Source organism: Homo sapiens, chromosome 7 (genome assembly GCF_000001405.40).
Source record: "Homo sapiens chromosome 7, GRCh38.p14 Primary Assembly".
NCBI lineage: Eukaryota > Metazoa > Chordata > Mammalia > Primates > Hominidae > Homo > Homo sapiens.
This window is the reverse complement of record NC_000007.14, coordinates 91,619,021-91,635,680: the sequence shown is the minus strand read 5'-3', so window position 1 is coordinate 91,635,680 and position 16,660 is coordinate 91,619,021. Positions and strand designations below refer to the sequence as shown.

The 16,660-nt window shown below is 39.9% G+C and overlaps 1 long non-coding RNA gene across 1 annotated transcript; it reads left to right on the top strand.

Moving 5' to 3' along the window:
- The first annotated feature begins 316 nt into the window (after positions 1-316).
- On the top strand, positions 317-9,738 carry LOC124901697 (uncharacterized). Its single transcript, XR_007060430.1, has 2 exons — positions 317-3,121; positions 5,861-9,738. It is a non-coding gene; the product is annotated as an uncharacterized LOC124901697 (long non-coding RNA).
- Positions 9,739-16,660: the final 6,922 nt, after the last annotated feature.

The following is a 16,660-nucleotide window of genomic DNA, read 5'->3' as shown; positions in this document are numbered from 1 at the left end:
GACTACCCTTCCCAGCCTGTGGTAACCATCCTTCTACTCTCTATCCCCATGAGTTCAATTGTTTTGATTTTTGCTCCAATAAATAAGTGAGAACATGTGAAGTTTGTCTTTCTGTGCCTGGCTTATTTCACTTAACATAATGATCTCCAGTTCCATCCACGTTGTTGCTAATGACAGGATCTCATGTTTTTATGGATGAATAGTATTCCTTTGTATATACGTACCACATTTTCTTTATCCACTCATCTGTTGATGGACACTTAGGTTGCTTCCAACCTTGGCTATTGCGAATAGTGCTGCAATAAACATGGAAGTGCAGATCTCTCTTTGATATATTAATTACATTTTTAAAGACACTGTCTCCAAATACAGTCACATTCTGAGGTAGTGGAGATTAGGGCTTCCACACACAAATTTGGGGGGACACAATTCAGTCCATAACAGGAAGGGTAAAGGATTCAGTAAAATAGATATTTCCTTCTCTCCAGACCTGGGTTTCCAGGAGTCTGGGATGACTGACATTTGATGCTGACTTTTTGCTGGGCTATTTGAGGGGAATTTAACAATGGAGAAAAATGTGAGAGGGAGCACTTCATGTGGGGAGAGCCATGCTGTGTAATATGACTTTGTCAGGAGCCCATTTCCGGATGTTACCTGTGGTGTTTGCACAGCTGTTCTGTCATTGTACTCCTTGGCAGCCTGAAGGCTGATTTCCTGGTGAATTTTCACCTAATTTCCTTTGCATCTGCCTTATAAGTGATAGTTTCATGTCTGAACTTTAAAAATGGCATCAGCCAGAATGCTGATTTATTAATTTACAATGAGAAATGTAATCATTGAGTGGACTGGGTACTCCAGTTTCTTGTCCAGCATGTGCTTTCCCTGCAGGCAAATGTAAGTGGGAAGCCAAATTATCATCAGAAGGTGGCTTGGTGAGCATGGAATCAGGCCAGGGGAGTTAGGGATGAGATTTGGCATTCCCTTGCTTTTTATTCTTTGGGCCAAGCAGTGCCGAGCAGCATAGACTGGCAGCACATGCTGGCTGCCTCTGCCTCTGCTACTCTTCCTGACTTGCCATTGCCTCCTCTGGCAAACTCAGCAAGCAGGACTCAGCTCAACCATCTCTGCCTCGGAGAAGCCTTTCTTCATTTCCCCAGACAGAGGAGGTCTCTCTTCTTCCTTACCCCTGTGGTACTTTATGCTAAGTATGTATTTGGCATCCTGTGTTTTGGTTATTTATTTACTCACCTGTCTTCTCCACTGAACTCAGAGAAACTTAAGTGAAGGGATTTAATTGTGTTTACTGTATACAATGCAAGTGGTCAGTGTTCAATAACTACTAACTGCTTAATAGAAGTTATCATTATGGTAATTCACATTACGATGGGGGTTTATATATATTTGTTTTTGTTTTTGCTTTATGTTTTAATACGCTTTCCAGTAAGTTGCTCATAAGACATGATCTTACATTGCACTAATAGCTATGAGGTGAGATAGGCAGGTAGGCACCAGTATCAGATGACAACATACTTAGAGGTTAAGTGATTTGTCAATCAATTAAAGGCACTTTCCACCAAACCTGCTTATCTTGAGAACTGGGTCTCCTCTCCCCTGAGTTCTCCCTGTTCTTGCCCTGTGGGTTGATACTTAGAGCTTAAGCCTTTCTCCCACATCCTTAGTTTTCCTCTTTCCTCCTCCTTAGGAGCCTGGAGCTCTCTGAGTGCTTGGTATTCTCTCTTTAAAAGGACCTTCCTTCTCAGCCCTGTCTTACTGGGGAGGATTCTGCACTTGAAAATCCTGCTCTTTCCTCTTTGACCACCCATTTTCTCCTCATGCATTTCCCTTCTAATTTCCAGGTCAAACTCTGATTCCCTCAGACATTTAGTCTTGTGAAGAAAGCAATGTGATTAAATTTAATTTACACTAAGATGCTAATAACATCCTCAGGGTATTTGCATATTAAGATTTTAAGAGTGAATTCCTTTAGCAATGTTCTGAAAGCTGGCTACATGTTACCATGTTGGCATTTCTCTCTCCCTCTCTCTGTGTCTCCACACACACACACACAAAAACACACAAGTGTGCACACACACACATTTAATTTTGTTTACTCCGTATTTGGTAAAATTTCCTGGGCCCTTAGAAACTATTTCTCTTTTTATGTTTTTAAAAGAAATTTCTATACTTTGCAGTCCAGATGCTACCATGAATTTCTTCAGACCATCAGCAACTAGTCATTATAACCTTTGGGGAGATACAGCGCTTCACCAGTGAGTCATTAGCTTTTGGGCCTAGAGAACAAATCTGAAGGACCTTTTCATATCTCATAACTAAATACATTCTGCAGCTTGCAGATAAACATGCTGATCTGACAGCGAGTTAAGGAGGTTTATCAGCATTTGTGCACCTGCAGCGTTACACTAAAAGACATGACTTCATTAAAACTCACTGTGCTTGTGAGAACAATGAGGACTGGTGGTAGGTGTTAAAAAGAAAGACACTACTAGATGGCGGCTTTAAGCTCATCTTTGAAGGGATGAACTCATTCTATCCGACATGTCCAGCTGTGCAAACAGCAGCACCGAGTGAGCTGCAGTTAGCTGTACTAATACATAGGATTAGAACAGAGGCCGGGCCACATACAAATGATGCGAATGCTTAATATACTTGAACACTATGAATGCTGCACAGAGGGGGAATAAGAGCCCCAGAAGTGACAGAAGATATTTTGCTAACTGTCATAAAAAAGAGTATGTTAGGGCCTTCTAGGAACATTTCTCTTGCTGGTGACTTTTGCCTTTTGAGGCCAGTGTTTTCTTAGATGAAAAAACAATACAAAACATCGATCTCTCAAAAAACTTCACAGGGAAATAACAAGGGTTGCCACAGTTACCATTGTTCTCTCATAAAATTCCAGAATGAGAAAACCGTGGGGTGTGTGTGTGTGTGTGTGTGTGTATGCATCTGTGTGTGTATGTGAATGTGTATTTGGGCTTCATCTGCAATAGCAACTTAAGCTCAGAATAAGTGAATGGGTTGTCAAGGTGGACATTAGCAGTGAGAGACCAAGAGTCTGGACAACAGGGATTCAGTGATTGGGCTAGAAGACCCAGTCATGAAGGTACTAGAAAGTGGGTCAAAGGAAGCACAACTCAGGTTCTAGAAGCCTTGGCAATGGATAGAAGCAACACAGGCCTAGGAGCAACACAGACCTTGATACTGATGCTAATCTCGTCTGAGGAAGTGTTAATGGGAGTGGATTCTTTATATGCTTCCTGTCCTTAGTGAGAGCTGTGGGTAGGCTGGGTAGAGCTGAACCAAGCTCCTTCATGGGCAGATGAAAGGGAGGTTGCAGTGGGAGGGAAACCAGCAAGTCCTGAACATTTGGAGACCCATCCCCAACCCTCACAGCACTGCTGTAAAAACTGCAGAATGAAGGACTTCATAACATCTTCTTCCTTATTTCCCTAAGATTTGAAAATGCTAGTTATCCTTAAAAGTTTTCTGAGTAGTGCAAAACATATATAGGTTTATTTCTCTCGTAGTATTAGGAGCTGAATATTATAAGTTCCTATGTTCCAGGACCTTAAATGAATGGATCTCTTTGCGAGGTGTCCTGAAACATTATTCTACCACATTTGGCTCATGCAGTCAGAAGAGCCTTTAATATAATACACATAAGTGATCCCAGGAGACCAGGAGTACTTCTGACAATTTCATTGCAGTCCATAATTACACTTTTCCTTATTTTAGTCATGTTTCATGAAACTTATACTCTTTGTCCTTTGCCAGAATGTATGGCAAGAGCTGAAACAATCTGTTTTTTTTTTTTTTTTTTTTTTTGAGACAGAGTCTCGCTGTCGCCCAGGCTGGAGTGCAGTGGCGCAATCTCGGCTCACTGCAGGCTCCGCCCCCTGGGGTTCACGCCATTCTTCTGCCTCAGCCTCCCGAGTAGCTGGGACTACAGGCGCCCGCCACCTCGCCCGGCTAATTTTTTGTATTTTTAGTAGAGACGGGGTTTCACCGTGTTAGCCAGGATGGTCTCGATCTCCTGACCTCGTGATCCGCCCGCCTCGGCCTCCCAAAGTGCTGGGATTACAGGCGAAACAATCTGTTTTTTAAGAAAGTTTACTTAGGTAAGATGTGATCATGAGTCAGAGCCAGAGATGAAGTAAAGGACATAACTCCATGTTGTAAATAATCACAGTGGTCTTTTTGGAAACATGAGTAAATTATCTTGTGTAACAACATATTTGCATATTTAGCATCTCTAGATAAACTATAAACTCCTTTAAGAATGCTATTTGCTTCTTTTATATCTCCTATCAATGTAACACAATATTCAACATGGTAAATGTTCACATTCAGTTACAACTGGTAAATATAAATGAGAAACCCACATAACTAACATACTATGTAAATATGCTCATGAATTTCTCTAAATCATCTCACACTTAGTCAACTCCTTTGGCAATGTATCTAGACCTGCCTATTTCATGCATTGCAAGCAATAGAGGTCAGGAATTATTGGCATGTTGGTCAATAAGTTACTGAAGTTAATCTTCATTTAATGAATCATCAGCAAGGGAGCTACACAGATGACAAGTGTTCAATTTTCAGAAATCTCTTGCCCAATCTGTCTCTCTTCCTTCTGTCTTCCTAATTATTGATTTGATGTATGAGCCCCTCCTCCCAATCCTTCAGCCAGCACCCTTGAGAGTTCAGCCTTTTAAAGATGTTCTCATTAGAGTCAATAATTCACCATGGCATATTATATACTACCCTGAAAATCTATATAGCTGTTCTTTCATGTTGTACATCCTGGGGTGCTCAAATAATTAATTTCACTAGCTATAAAGAACAATACCTTCTATTGTGAGTGGTAAAAATGTACTATACACAGAGCCAATTGTATGGACATGGCTTGGAGACAAGCTCTGCTGGAGAGTTTCTCAAGAGGATTTTAATGTTGAAGATAGGTAGTTCTGTTCTTGGACCGATATGAAAGCATAAAATAAAGTGTAAATGTTCTTTGGAATTAGTCAATTACCAATTGGTCCAAATACTTTCTTTGGGCATTTTTTTCTCTTTCCTCTAATTTCTAAGAGTAAAAATAGTTTATTTAGTATCATTGAAAACTCTTGCTTGGAATAAAGCATTCCAAAGACATAATACCAAGACTCAGGAGAAAATACCAGTGTCTGTTTCTCACAGTCTGATTCAGAACTGTTTAGATTTTAAAACAGCTATTTGTATGAATGCTAAAGACTTTTTAGTTAATTAATATTAATAAAGGCCAGTCATATCCCAATTTAGTTACCTAAAGAGGGGAATAACAATATGCACATTAACATTTTAATTACTGCTAAGTAAAATAAAGACTTCAATTTAGTTTGTGGGAAATCAGTAACAATTTAGATAAATTAAAAATTACCTTTTAAACTTTTGTAGTATAATTAAGAGTCAGGGGTCTCAGATTCAAATTCTAGCTCTGCCAATAACTAAATAGGTGGCCTTGAGTTAAGTCATTTCAGTTAACCTGGCCTTGGTTTCTTCAGTCCTATAAAATAGAGATTAGTTCCTTCCAGTTCTAGTACTCTATGTTTCTTTCTATGATCATCACTTAGACCTCCAATGAATAAATCACTCACTCCAATGGAATAGAAACATTAAGTAGCAATCTTTCTTTTTTCTTGAATAAATCCTGGGCAAAAGGTATTTATGGGAGCAAAGAAATGGATGAATTATTTTCAAAACATATATGTTCCCTTAGATGGAAGAGTTCCTGGGATGAAATTTTTGTTTTATAGGAGACTGGCTTAGGAAACCCAAGACAGAATGTATATCTATTCATTTCTAGGTCATAGTGTGAAAACTTCCATTTGGAAATCTGGGAGCAGTTCTTAAGTCAAAAAACAGACCTGGAATCACAGTATCCATACATACCAGTTGGAGGACAAAAGACATTGCCCCAGAGACCAGAGGCACCAAAATACACTACACCTAGCTACCTGAGAATGCCTCTAGCTGGCAACTCCAGCAAAGGCCCTTTTCCCCATCCTTGACCATCTTGAGTGAAAGCAAAGAACTGAAAGATTGAAAAATCTGAGACTGAGCGTTCCTTCCTGGAGAGACTCGTACCATATCAACCAGATTGGATATGTATTTATTTTTCTTTTCTGCCATTCAGCATGTGGCAAAGACCCATTTAGTTATAAACAAAATAAAAGAGGTTGTATTTATAAAATTTTGCACATCTAAGTTGTAGTATGTATTAAGTTTGTATCCTTGTTATATGTGATTCCCTGCTGTGGCCCAGCAGATAATATAAACACTGTATTTTATAGACCCCAAATTTAATACTGGAATCTTAAGCAAACAAAGTCTTTCTCACACATTTTATCGTATTTGTCACTAAAAGTCCTTTGTCTCCAGAACATCAATCTGGGTACTGTTCCTAAGAACCCAATTGGTACAACTTTTTGGAGTTAATAAAATTGTATTCCCACTGGTTTCCATTGCTGTTTTGTGCACAATTCCCCACTGAGTATTTGATGAATTTCTACTCCTTGGGGGCCCCATTTTTTGTGTGAGTTTGCTGAGGATCCATGCGTCTTGTCACAGGGAGGAAGATGATTTCCTCTGATAACATTCCCCTGGTACCTGAGGAGCTTATCACAGCCCTTTATTTGGCTGTTTCTGTTATGTTGGCATGCGTCCAGAGCAATGGGAAAGAAAAGGTTGTGCTTTTACAGGGAACATTTTATTCCCTCTTGGGAAAAGTGAACATGACTCAATGTCAGGAAGGGAAATTTTTCATTCAGATAAAGAGAATGAACATCCGCCTACCTCTTTTAATAGTTAAAACACATTTACGGTCCGTTTGCATTTTGTTTTCTTGAAGAGCTCAAATTATTTTAGAAAATCTGATTTATTGAAACCAGACCTGCACCAGCTTGTTTTGTGTGTGAAGAGGGACTATTTTTCATTTCTCAAGAGACCTGTGTGGTGAGGGGGGCCAAGATGGTGAGGTCAGGTTGGATATGGGTGGGTGGGGGAAGATTTCTGAAATAAAGAACCAAAAACTGGGTGCAAGCTGGACTTTCTCCCTAATGAGAGAAGCCAAGAGGGGAATGAAAATTATTAAAGATTGATCGGGTAAGGCATTTGAACTTATCAATAGGTTTCAACCTATTGGATTGCTATTAAATAGTCACAAAAACTGCATCCTGATTTTTGAAGGTGATGGATATTGGAAGGGACTTGGGCAAATCCAACCCTGAGTTTACCTTTGTAAATTTATCATTTGTCATTCATTTGAAAATCTCAACTCCTTAATAGAACTGTAAGTCTCCAGAGAGCATAGAGTCTGTGTTTCCTTTTATTAAAAAATGACTTCTTGTTCTATTCCTCAGAGTACCCAGCTTAGCTCTGAGTATGTCCTCAGTAACATTGTAGTTGTCTCAATATATGTATTTTAAATTGACTGCTGTATTATCTAAAGATAGAGACTCACTGGCTCTAATTCAGCAGTTCCTGTGGGCACCAGCGAGGCGCCTATACACTGGATTAAGGACAGTATAATATTTTGCTTTAACGTCTCTGTAATAAAAATTTATGTTTGCTGATGATCAAGGCAGAGAAAATTTTTTTGTTCCTTGTTTTCTCCAGACTGGTTTTTGTGTGAGTCCAGAATCAAGGATGCCTCTTGTTGCAGAGACTACTGAGAGGTGACAGTGTGCTGGCAGTCCTCACAGCTGTCGCTCGCTCTCGGCACCTCCTCTGCCTGGGCTCCCACTTTGGCGGCACTTGAGGAGCCCTTCAGCCCACCGCTGCACTGTGGGAGCCCCTTTCTGGGCTGGCCAAGGCCAGAGCCGGCTCCCTCAGCTTGCAGGGAGGTGTGGAGGGAGAGGCGCCAGCGGGAACCGGGGCTGCGCACGGCGCTTGCGGGCCAGCTGGAGTTCCGGGTGGGCGTGGGCTTGGCGGGCCCCGCACTCGGAGCAGCCGGCCAGCCCTGCAGGCCCTGGGCAATGAGGGGCTTAGCACCCGGGCCAGCGGCTGCGGAGGGTGTACTGGTTCCCCCAGCAGTGCCAGCCCACCGGCGCTGTGCTCGATTTCTCACCGGGCCTTAGCTGCCTTCCCGCGGGGCAGGGCTGGGGACCTGCAGCCCGCCAAGCCTGAGCCTCCCACCCGCTCCATGGGCTCCTGTGCGGCCGGAGGTTCCCGACGACCGCCACCCCCTGCTCCACGGCGCCCAGTCCCATCGACCACCCAAGGGCTGAGGAGTGCAGGCGCACGGCACCAGGACTGGCAGGCAGCTCCACCTGCAGCTCTGGTGCGGGATCCACTAGGTGAAGCCAGCTGGGCTCCTGAGTCTGGTGGGGACGTGGAGAACCTTTGTATCTAGCTCAGGGATTGTAAACGCACCAATCAGGGCCCTGTCAAAACAGACCACTGGGCTCTACCAATCAGCAGGATGTGGGTGGGGCCAGATAAGAGAATAAAAGCAGGCTGCCTGAACCAGCAGTGGCAACCCACTGGGGTCCCCTTCCGCACTGTGGAAGCTTTGTTCCTTCGCTCTTTGCAATAAATCTTGCTTCTGCTCAGTCTTTGGGTCCACACTGCTTTTATGAGCTGTAACACTCACTGTGAAGATCTGCAGCTTCACTCCTGAAGCCAGCGAGACCACGAGCCCACCGGGAGGAACGAACAACTCCAGACGCGCTACCTTAAGAGCTGTAACACTCACCGTGAAGGTCTGCAGCTTCACTCCTGAGCCAGCGAGACCACGAACCCACCAGAAGGAAGAAACTCCGAACACATCTGAACATCAGAAGGAACGAACTCCAGACGCGCCACCTTAGGAGCTGTAACCCTCACCGTGAGGGTCCGCGGCTTCATTCTTGAAGTCAGTGAGACCCAAAAACCCACCAATTCTGGACACACTACTACTTGACCTCCAATATCTATTTTTTACATCTGCCTTCTTTAGTAATTCAGCTTCCTTCTGATTTTTTTCCCCAGGGCTCATGCCAACCTAGAATATGTATTATACTCCCCAGCCTCCCTTACAGTTAGATGTGGCTACACAACTCGGTTCTGGGCAATGGAGTGTATGTGGAAGTGCAACTTTTGCATATAGGATACTGTCCTTTATGGAAAGGGGAAAGCCGTTCTTCTCTGCTTTCTTACACCCTGCTGCCTGGAGTGTGGATGTAATGGCTGGAGCTCCCAGGCCTATCAAGGACCATGTTCTTGGGAATGGAAGCTGTGCATACAGAACAAGATAGAAGAAGCTTTACATTTTGACACCATGGAGCTTCCATATAACCAACCTCTGGACTGCTCGCCTCTTGAATCCCATCTGAGGGAGGAATAAACAACTATATTGTTTAAGTTTTCTTTTGGCTTTTAATTCTAGTTAGAATCTAATTTGAACTAATATGGTCCCCTGAGCCAATAATCTGTATTCTGTTATAAACCGCAATTCTGTTGTATAAAGCATCTTTTTTTTATACAACAGAGAAGTTCCTGAACTTTTTTTGGTAAGTTTGAAGATATTTTAAATATAATAATAGGGGTTACACTTTAAAGAAACCATATAGCAAATTCTTTTATAAAGGATTTACATTTTTTTATTACAAAAATGTTTTAAGTGCCAAATCCTAGAATGGGGGGAAAAAAAAGACATTAGTGGAACTATTGATGAGACCTAAATAAAGTCTGTAGTCTGGTTAACAATGTTGTACTAATGTTCTTTTCTAGTTTTGATAGTTGCACAACGGTTATGTAAGATGGTAATGTAATGTTAGAATAAGCTATCCGGTTGGTTCAAAAGTAATTGCAGTTTTTGCCATTGAAAGTGATGGGAAAAAACGCAATTACTTTTGCTCCAAACCCAATAGTCACAGGTTATGTGGAAATTCAACTCAGTACTTTTTTTAAAACTATGGTAAAATATTCATAATACAATTTACCACGTAAACAAATTTAAGTGTACATTTCAGTGGCATTAAGTACATTCATATTGTTCTGTAACCATCACCACTATCCATTCCCAGAACTTTTTCATCTTCCTAAACCGAAACTCTGTGCTCATCAAACACTAAATCCCCGTTTCAACCCTTCCCCCAGCCTTTGGCAACCACCACTCAATTTCTGTATCTATAAATTTGACTACTCTAGGTGCCTCATAGAGGTGGAATTATACACTATTTGTCCTTTTGTTACTAGCTTATTTCAGTTAGCATAATGTCTGTAAGAGTCATCTATGTTGTAGCCTGTGTTGGAATTTTCTTTTTTTTTTTTGAGACGGAGTCTTGTTCTGTCGCCCAGGCTGGAGTGCAGTGGCCCGATCTCAGCTCACTGCAAGCTCCGCCTTCCGGGTTCACGCCATTCTCCTGCCTCAGCCTCCCGAGTAGCTAGGACTACAGGCGCCTGCTACCACGCCCGGCTAATTTTTTTGTATTTTTAGTAGAGACGGGGTTTCACCGTGTTAGCCAGGATGGTCTGGATCTCCTGACCTGGAGATCCGCCCGCCTCGGCCTCCCAAAGCGCTGAGATTACAGGCGTGAGCCACCAAGCCCGGCCTGTGTTCAAATTTTCTATTCAAGGCTGAATAATACTGTTGTGTATATATACTACATTTTGTTTGTTCATTCATCTGTTGATATGAATTTTGAGGGACAAATACATTTGGTTGATAGTAGCTTCCAAAAGATATTCACATCCTAGTCCCCAGAACCTATGAATGTTACCTTACGATGGCAAAGAAGGATTCTGTAGATCTTGAGATGGGGAGATTTTTCTGGATTATCTGGGTGGGGCCTAAATGCATTCACAGGAATCCTTAGAAGAGGGAAGCAGAGGGAGATTTCAGCAGAAGAGAAGACAATATGAGCAGGGAGACAGAGAGTAGAGTGACAGTGATGCAGACCGAAACCAAGGAATGCCCAGAGCCATCAGAAATTGGAAGAGACAAGGAGTGGATTCTCCCTTAGAGCATGCTAAGGGAGTGTAGCACCTTGATTTTGGCCCAGAGATACTGATTTCAGACTTCTGGCCTTTAGAACTGTGAGGGAATACATTTCTGTTGTTTTAAGCTTCCAAGTTTGTGATGATTTGTTACAGAAGCCACAGGAAACTAATACATCATATAAAAATTAGCTGATGATTTATTAACAGGATGCCAAATGTTCAGCTGGTGAGATATAATTTATATAGACAAGTTATGGAAATGACCTAATTTTTTTATCTCTCATTTAGCATCATTTTATACTACTCAGAATTTCTGCATTTGTTACAGTATTCTTAGAAATGTTTTTTTCCTGACTGGTAAAATAATAATACATGTTAGTTGCAGAAAAGTTAGAAAATATAGAAAAGTGGGTTAGGCACGGTGGCTCACGCCTGTAATCCCAGCGCTTTGGGAGGCTGAGGTGGGCGGATCGCTTGAGCTCAGTAGTTTGAGACCAGCCTGGAAGACACGGCAAAACCCCGTCTCTACAAAAAATGCAAAAATTAGCCAGGTGTGGTGGCATGCGCCTGTAGTCTCAGCTACCCAGGAGGCTGAGGGAGGATCGCTTGAGCCTGGAGGGTAGAGGCTGCAGTGAGCCATGATCTTGCTGCTGCACTCCACCCTGGGCAACAGAGCAAGACCCTGTCTCAAAAAACAAACAAACAAACAGAGAAAAATATGGAAAAGCATAAAGAATTAAATATAATCTTACAATCCCAACATTCAGTTTTGATGACAATTTAGATATATTTCCTTCAAGTCCTCTCTTTAGATTTACAAACTGCATTTACAATGACATCTCACATTTATTTCACATAGAATCAGTTTGTGTATAATATGCATTTATTAATGAAATAATATTTTATATAAAACATTATTGTCCATAAACTAATCTGGATGTAGTAAACTGGATTGGCTGAATTACATGTACTGTTACTAAACTAACACGATAGAGAAAAAGGTTTAATAATCTCTCTTTTAAAATATGCATTTGTTTTGTGTCTATTTGTGACAGAGTTGTGATCTCATTGTATATAATTACATATTATATACATTTTATTCTTTTTTTACATAACAAAACCCTTTCCCCAGATTATTAATAATTTATCCTATATGTGATTTTAAATGTCCATATAATACTCCATAGAATATCATGTACATTTCTATACCTATAAAATACGGAAATATCTCAGCCATTTCTCACATTTATAATTTTTATTTATATCATTTATCATTTTTATTATTTTCTGAGACATAATAGATCTACACATTTGTGGGGTACGTGTGATAATTTAATACATTCATATATTTGTGAAGATCAAATCAGTGTAACTGGGAACTTTGTCTTTTCTTTATGCTAGAAACATTCAAATTATTTTCTTCTAGCTATTTTGAAATATATGGTAGGTTAATGTAAACTTATAATCAACACATTGGAGAGCATCTTTGCACATAATAATTGGGTCCATTCTTGGTTATTTGTAAATTGTTCATTCCATGTACTTTATCCTTTTATCCATTTATCTCTTGAGGGCCCTAGTTTTTTCCTTAGTAATTTATATAATAAAGATGTAAACACTTTTAAGATAACAAAACAGATTTTTATTATTTGTGCTTACTTAATTATAGATATACTTGTATTCTGAACCAAAATGACAATTATGTTATAATAAATCCAATCCTTTGGTTATCTCAATGAAAAATTATTTCTGCTTTATATGTGTAGGACACACCCTATTAGTAAATGCACTGATTTTTAAACTTAAAACAAAACACCAAGTAGTTGATAATGTTGGATATCACAACTTCACGGTTTTAGAAAATTTTTCTCTAGATCTGCCCCTATTATCTATTACAATCACCCTTCTTAGCTAATACCAATTTATTTTACTAAGATGAATATTTAGGGAAAATTAGAAATGGAAAATTGGAATTAGAAATTAGAAAATCCCACTCAGGCAGTAATTCTGAAATCTTAAATATTATTGGTTTTCAAAATGATTCTATTTTCAATTGAAGCAAGAGGTCTAAAGAAAGAGGAAAAAAAAGCATAAAATCCTTTGTTCCTGAGCCTTTGGAACTGACAATTTCTATTGAAAAAAAATTTTTTTAAAGATGTGTGCACCGCAAATAAACACAGAAGCATTTTTAGGGTGGAATCAGATTTTTCAAAGGCAATGAAATGTTCAAGGGTTCACACAACCGTTAGATATTTTCCCAAATGGAGGCCAAGGAGAATAATTATGGAACTGGAAGGGAAATAGGAATTAATCAGATGCTTCGTTGGAAAGCAGGTTACAATACAGCTCCAGACAAATGTATCCATTGGGAGCTATGACTCCAGTTGCTGGAAGACACTTAACTAGATAAAGACTCTTCATTTCATCCTGGTAACTTCTAATTTGTTTGCATATTTAATTTAAAGGCTTTAATTGTGTGTATTACTTCAAGAATCTCTTGTTGATAGAGCATATATCATTTTTCTTCCTTTTTCAAAATAAAAACCTCTAGAGAGAATACCTTTTCCCCAATATTTGAACTTTAATCCCTGGAATAGTATCTAGATCTAAATATACCACTTTGGAACTTCAAAAAGATATTATAAATAATCTTATCTATAAAGTTGAAAATGTACAATAAACAATTTTGTAAACTTATGACACTAGTAGTTCAGAAGAGACCACCGGTAGAAAAATTTATTTAATACAAAAATTTTTTGGCAGAAGGCTTTGAGAATACCAGAATGGCAATTCACTTAATATTAGTAAAGCCCTTTTAGAAGCTTTAAATGAATGGACTAATAGCTTCGATGAATTGACTATATAGCAAATCCTTATGCAACGTAATTAGAAATTTCCCATATATATTGGGATGACTTTCCTGGAAATATGTCTGTCTTCATCCCTCTTATAACTCTGAATTAAAGCTATTATTAAAGGCCAATTTGAAAAATATTAAGTTACTTAAAATTATAAATAATGTTATTTTTTAAATATTGAAATATCTTGAATAAATACCAGTTGCAAAAATCAGCTCTTAATCAGTTATTCAACACCTGTTTGTTGGGCATTTATTCAATAAAATATATTGAACATCTTTATGTGACATTCAATGCTGCAATTAAGGAATACCAACTAGTGGAAGAAATAGGCACTAATACAGATAATTAAAAAATAATATGGTAAATGCAATTAATTTATTCACTCATTTGTTATATGTTGCCTATTGTAGGTGCTAGTTATACACAGGCTAGAAATCAAACAAAACCCTGGCCTGATTCTGCTTCTCATATAGTTTAGAGTGTATATTTTGTAAATAAATGTAATTAAGAACTGATCATTTTTATGAATGAACATGGCTGGTGCTATGAGTGAGTTTAGGAGGATATAAGTGAGATTAGGGACAAGAAAAGCTTCTCTGAGAAAATATTTCAGCTGAGGTCTGATGAATGGGTGTTAGACAAAGAGTAAAGGAACCAATAATCTGGGCAGAGGGAGTAGCTTGTTTGTCTTGAAGGCCCTGGGCCAGGAATGAGCTTGTCTAGATTGATAATCCTAAAGAGGGTAAGTGTGGCTGGCGCTTGGTGAGTGAAGGTGAGATATAAGAAGCTGAGGCTGGAGAGGTGGGAGTGGCCAGAGCATGGAGGGCCTGGGAGGCCACATACCTTCCATATGGGGAAGTCATTGAAGCAGTTTCTACAGAGGACTCACATGATCTAGAAATATGACTTTGAAAATATCCAGGAAGAGGGGGCACCTGGGAAGGGCTCTCTCTCTCTCTCCCTCTCTCTCTGTCTCTCTGTCTCTCTCTCTCTTCTCTCTCTGTGTGTGTGTGTGTGTGTGTGTGTGTGTGTGTGAGAGAGAGAGAGAGAGAGAGGGAGAGAGAGAGAGAGGGAGAGAGAGAGAGGTTTTGTTGAATTATAGCCTGTGACGCAGGGAGTGGTGGGAAATGAGTTGGAGGGTGGGCCACAGACAGGTCTCAGTGGGTCTTGGTGGGACGTATCAGGAGCTTGCATGCTGTGGGAAGGCACTGCATGGTTTTAAGCAGGAGAGTGACCTTGACCAATTTGTAATTAACAGAGCGAATTGTAGCCATCTTGAAGGAGATTGCAGTATACCCACCTTTAACTGGGGTAATGATACTAAAGGTGGCCAGGAGCAGATACACTCAAGAAATGTAAAAGTAAAAGGTAAAATTGGCAGACTTCAGTGACTGCCATATGTGACAGGCGAGGAAGAAAAAGAAACCAAGGTTGAAGTGAGGTTTCTACCTTGAGTGCCTGGATGGAGAACACCGGTCAGGAGTGTGTGGGGGGGCGTGGGGGAGGATAATGACTTTAGCATTGATGTGCCCAGCACAGTGCTAGAAACTGTATTTGATATAAAAGGTCAGGAAAGCAACCAATCATTAAGAATCTAATCTATTCAAGGTACTTTTTCAAACACCTTACTTATTTAGTTCTCCTGACAACAATATGAATAGGAATTTCAAATCTCATTTACAGATGAAGCAATAAGGTGCACAGAGACTTAGACTCTCTACGACAAAGATCCCTATACTCGTAAAGTTGTAGAAGTGAAGGTCACTGAACTGAGGAGTTTATGGTGTGGGAGAGATTAAGATGCACACACAAACATATGACCTAATAGGATTAAATGCTAAGCTATATGGTTATAACAATAGATGGTGAAGACTCCCAGAAGGGTAAAAACAGAGTGGATGGCAGTATTTGGGAAGTCTGATAGGACGTATGGTACCATGCTGAGAACCTCAGGGATATTGCAAAAGGCAAAGATGGAGTCTCTGGATTATGTATTAGGGCTGTATAGTGTTTAACCCCTTTCAAATTTGTTATATCCCGTCAAGATGAGTAAGCAAAACCAGAGGATTTATTCTTGGTTCTTTTTACTTGCACATGTTCTTGGCAAATACTTAATTGTGCCATTTCGTTTGAAAGAAAATCCCAGTTCTTTAGTATGATTAGACTGATTGTTTTAACGGTTTCCATTGTTTTCAGGAATCGAACATTTCTTGGAAATGGAAAGTGATAAGAGGATGGTTACATAGAAAAATCCCCATAGAGTTGAGCAATGCAGTTCCCTGGACTAGAAAAGTTCATATAGTGATGTCAAAGCTTAGCAATAATTTATATAAACGCTGGCCCAAAGCCACTGACCATGGGAAAAGTTTCTGTATAACTACTCTTCTGATGGGGTCTGACCCAAAAATGAGGGAGAGAGATAACCTATTTGAACTGAGTAAAAAAAAGAATTTCATCTGGTTCAACCTAACAGTACTGAAATAATTGCAGAAAAGCAACGATCTATACTTTTCTTACCAGCTTCAGGAAAAGCTCTTCCACAACTTCCTTTGGCAGCCCCTTCTATTGTCTTGGAATTCATTCATTCAGGGAGTTCTTAGTATTGACCTAAATCCCTCTTGAATTAATTAAAGCCATTTTACTTCTCTTGCCCAGAACAAGCATTGAAAAGGACAGCTTGTCATTACTTGTTTAAACCCCCTTCATCATTTTGAAGACAGTAATGAAATGTCCAGTCAGCCCCTTTTCTCTAACTTAAAAGTTCCTCTAGCTTTCCCTCAAGGACCTATTCCCTTTCAATTTTTAGATGCTGTTCAGAAAGA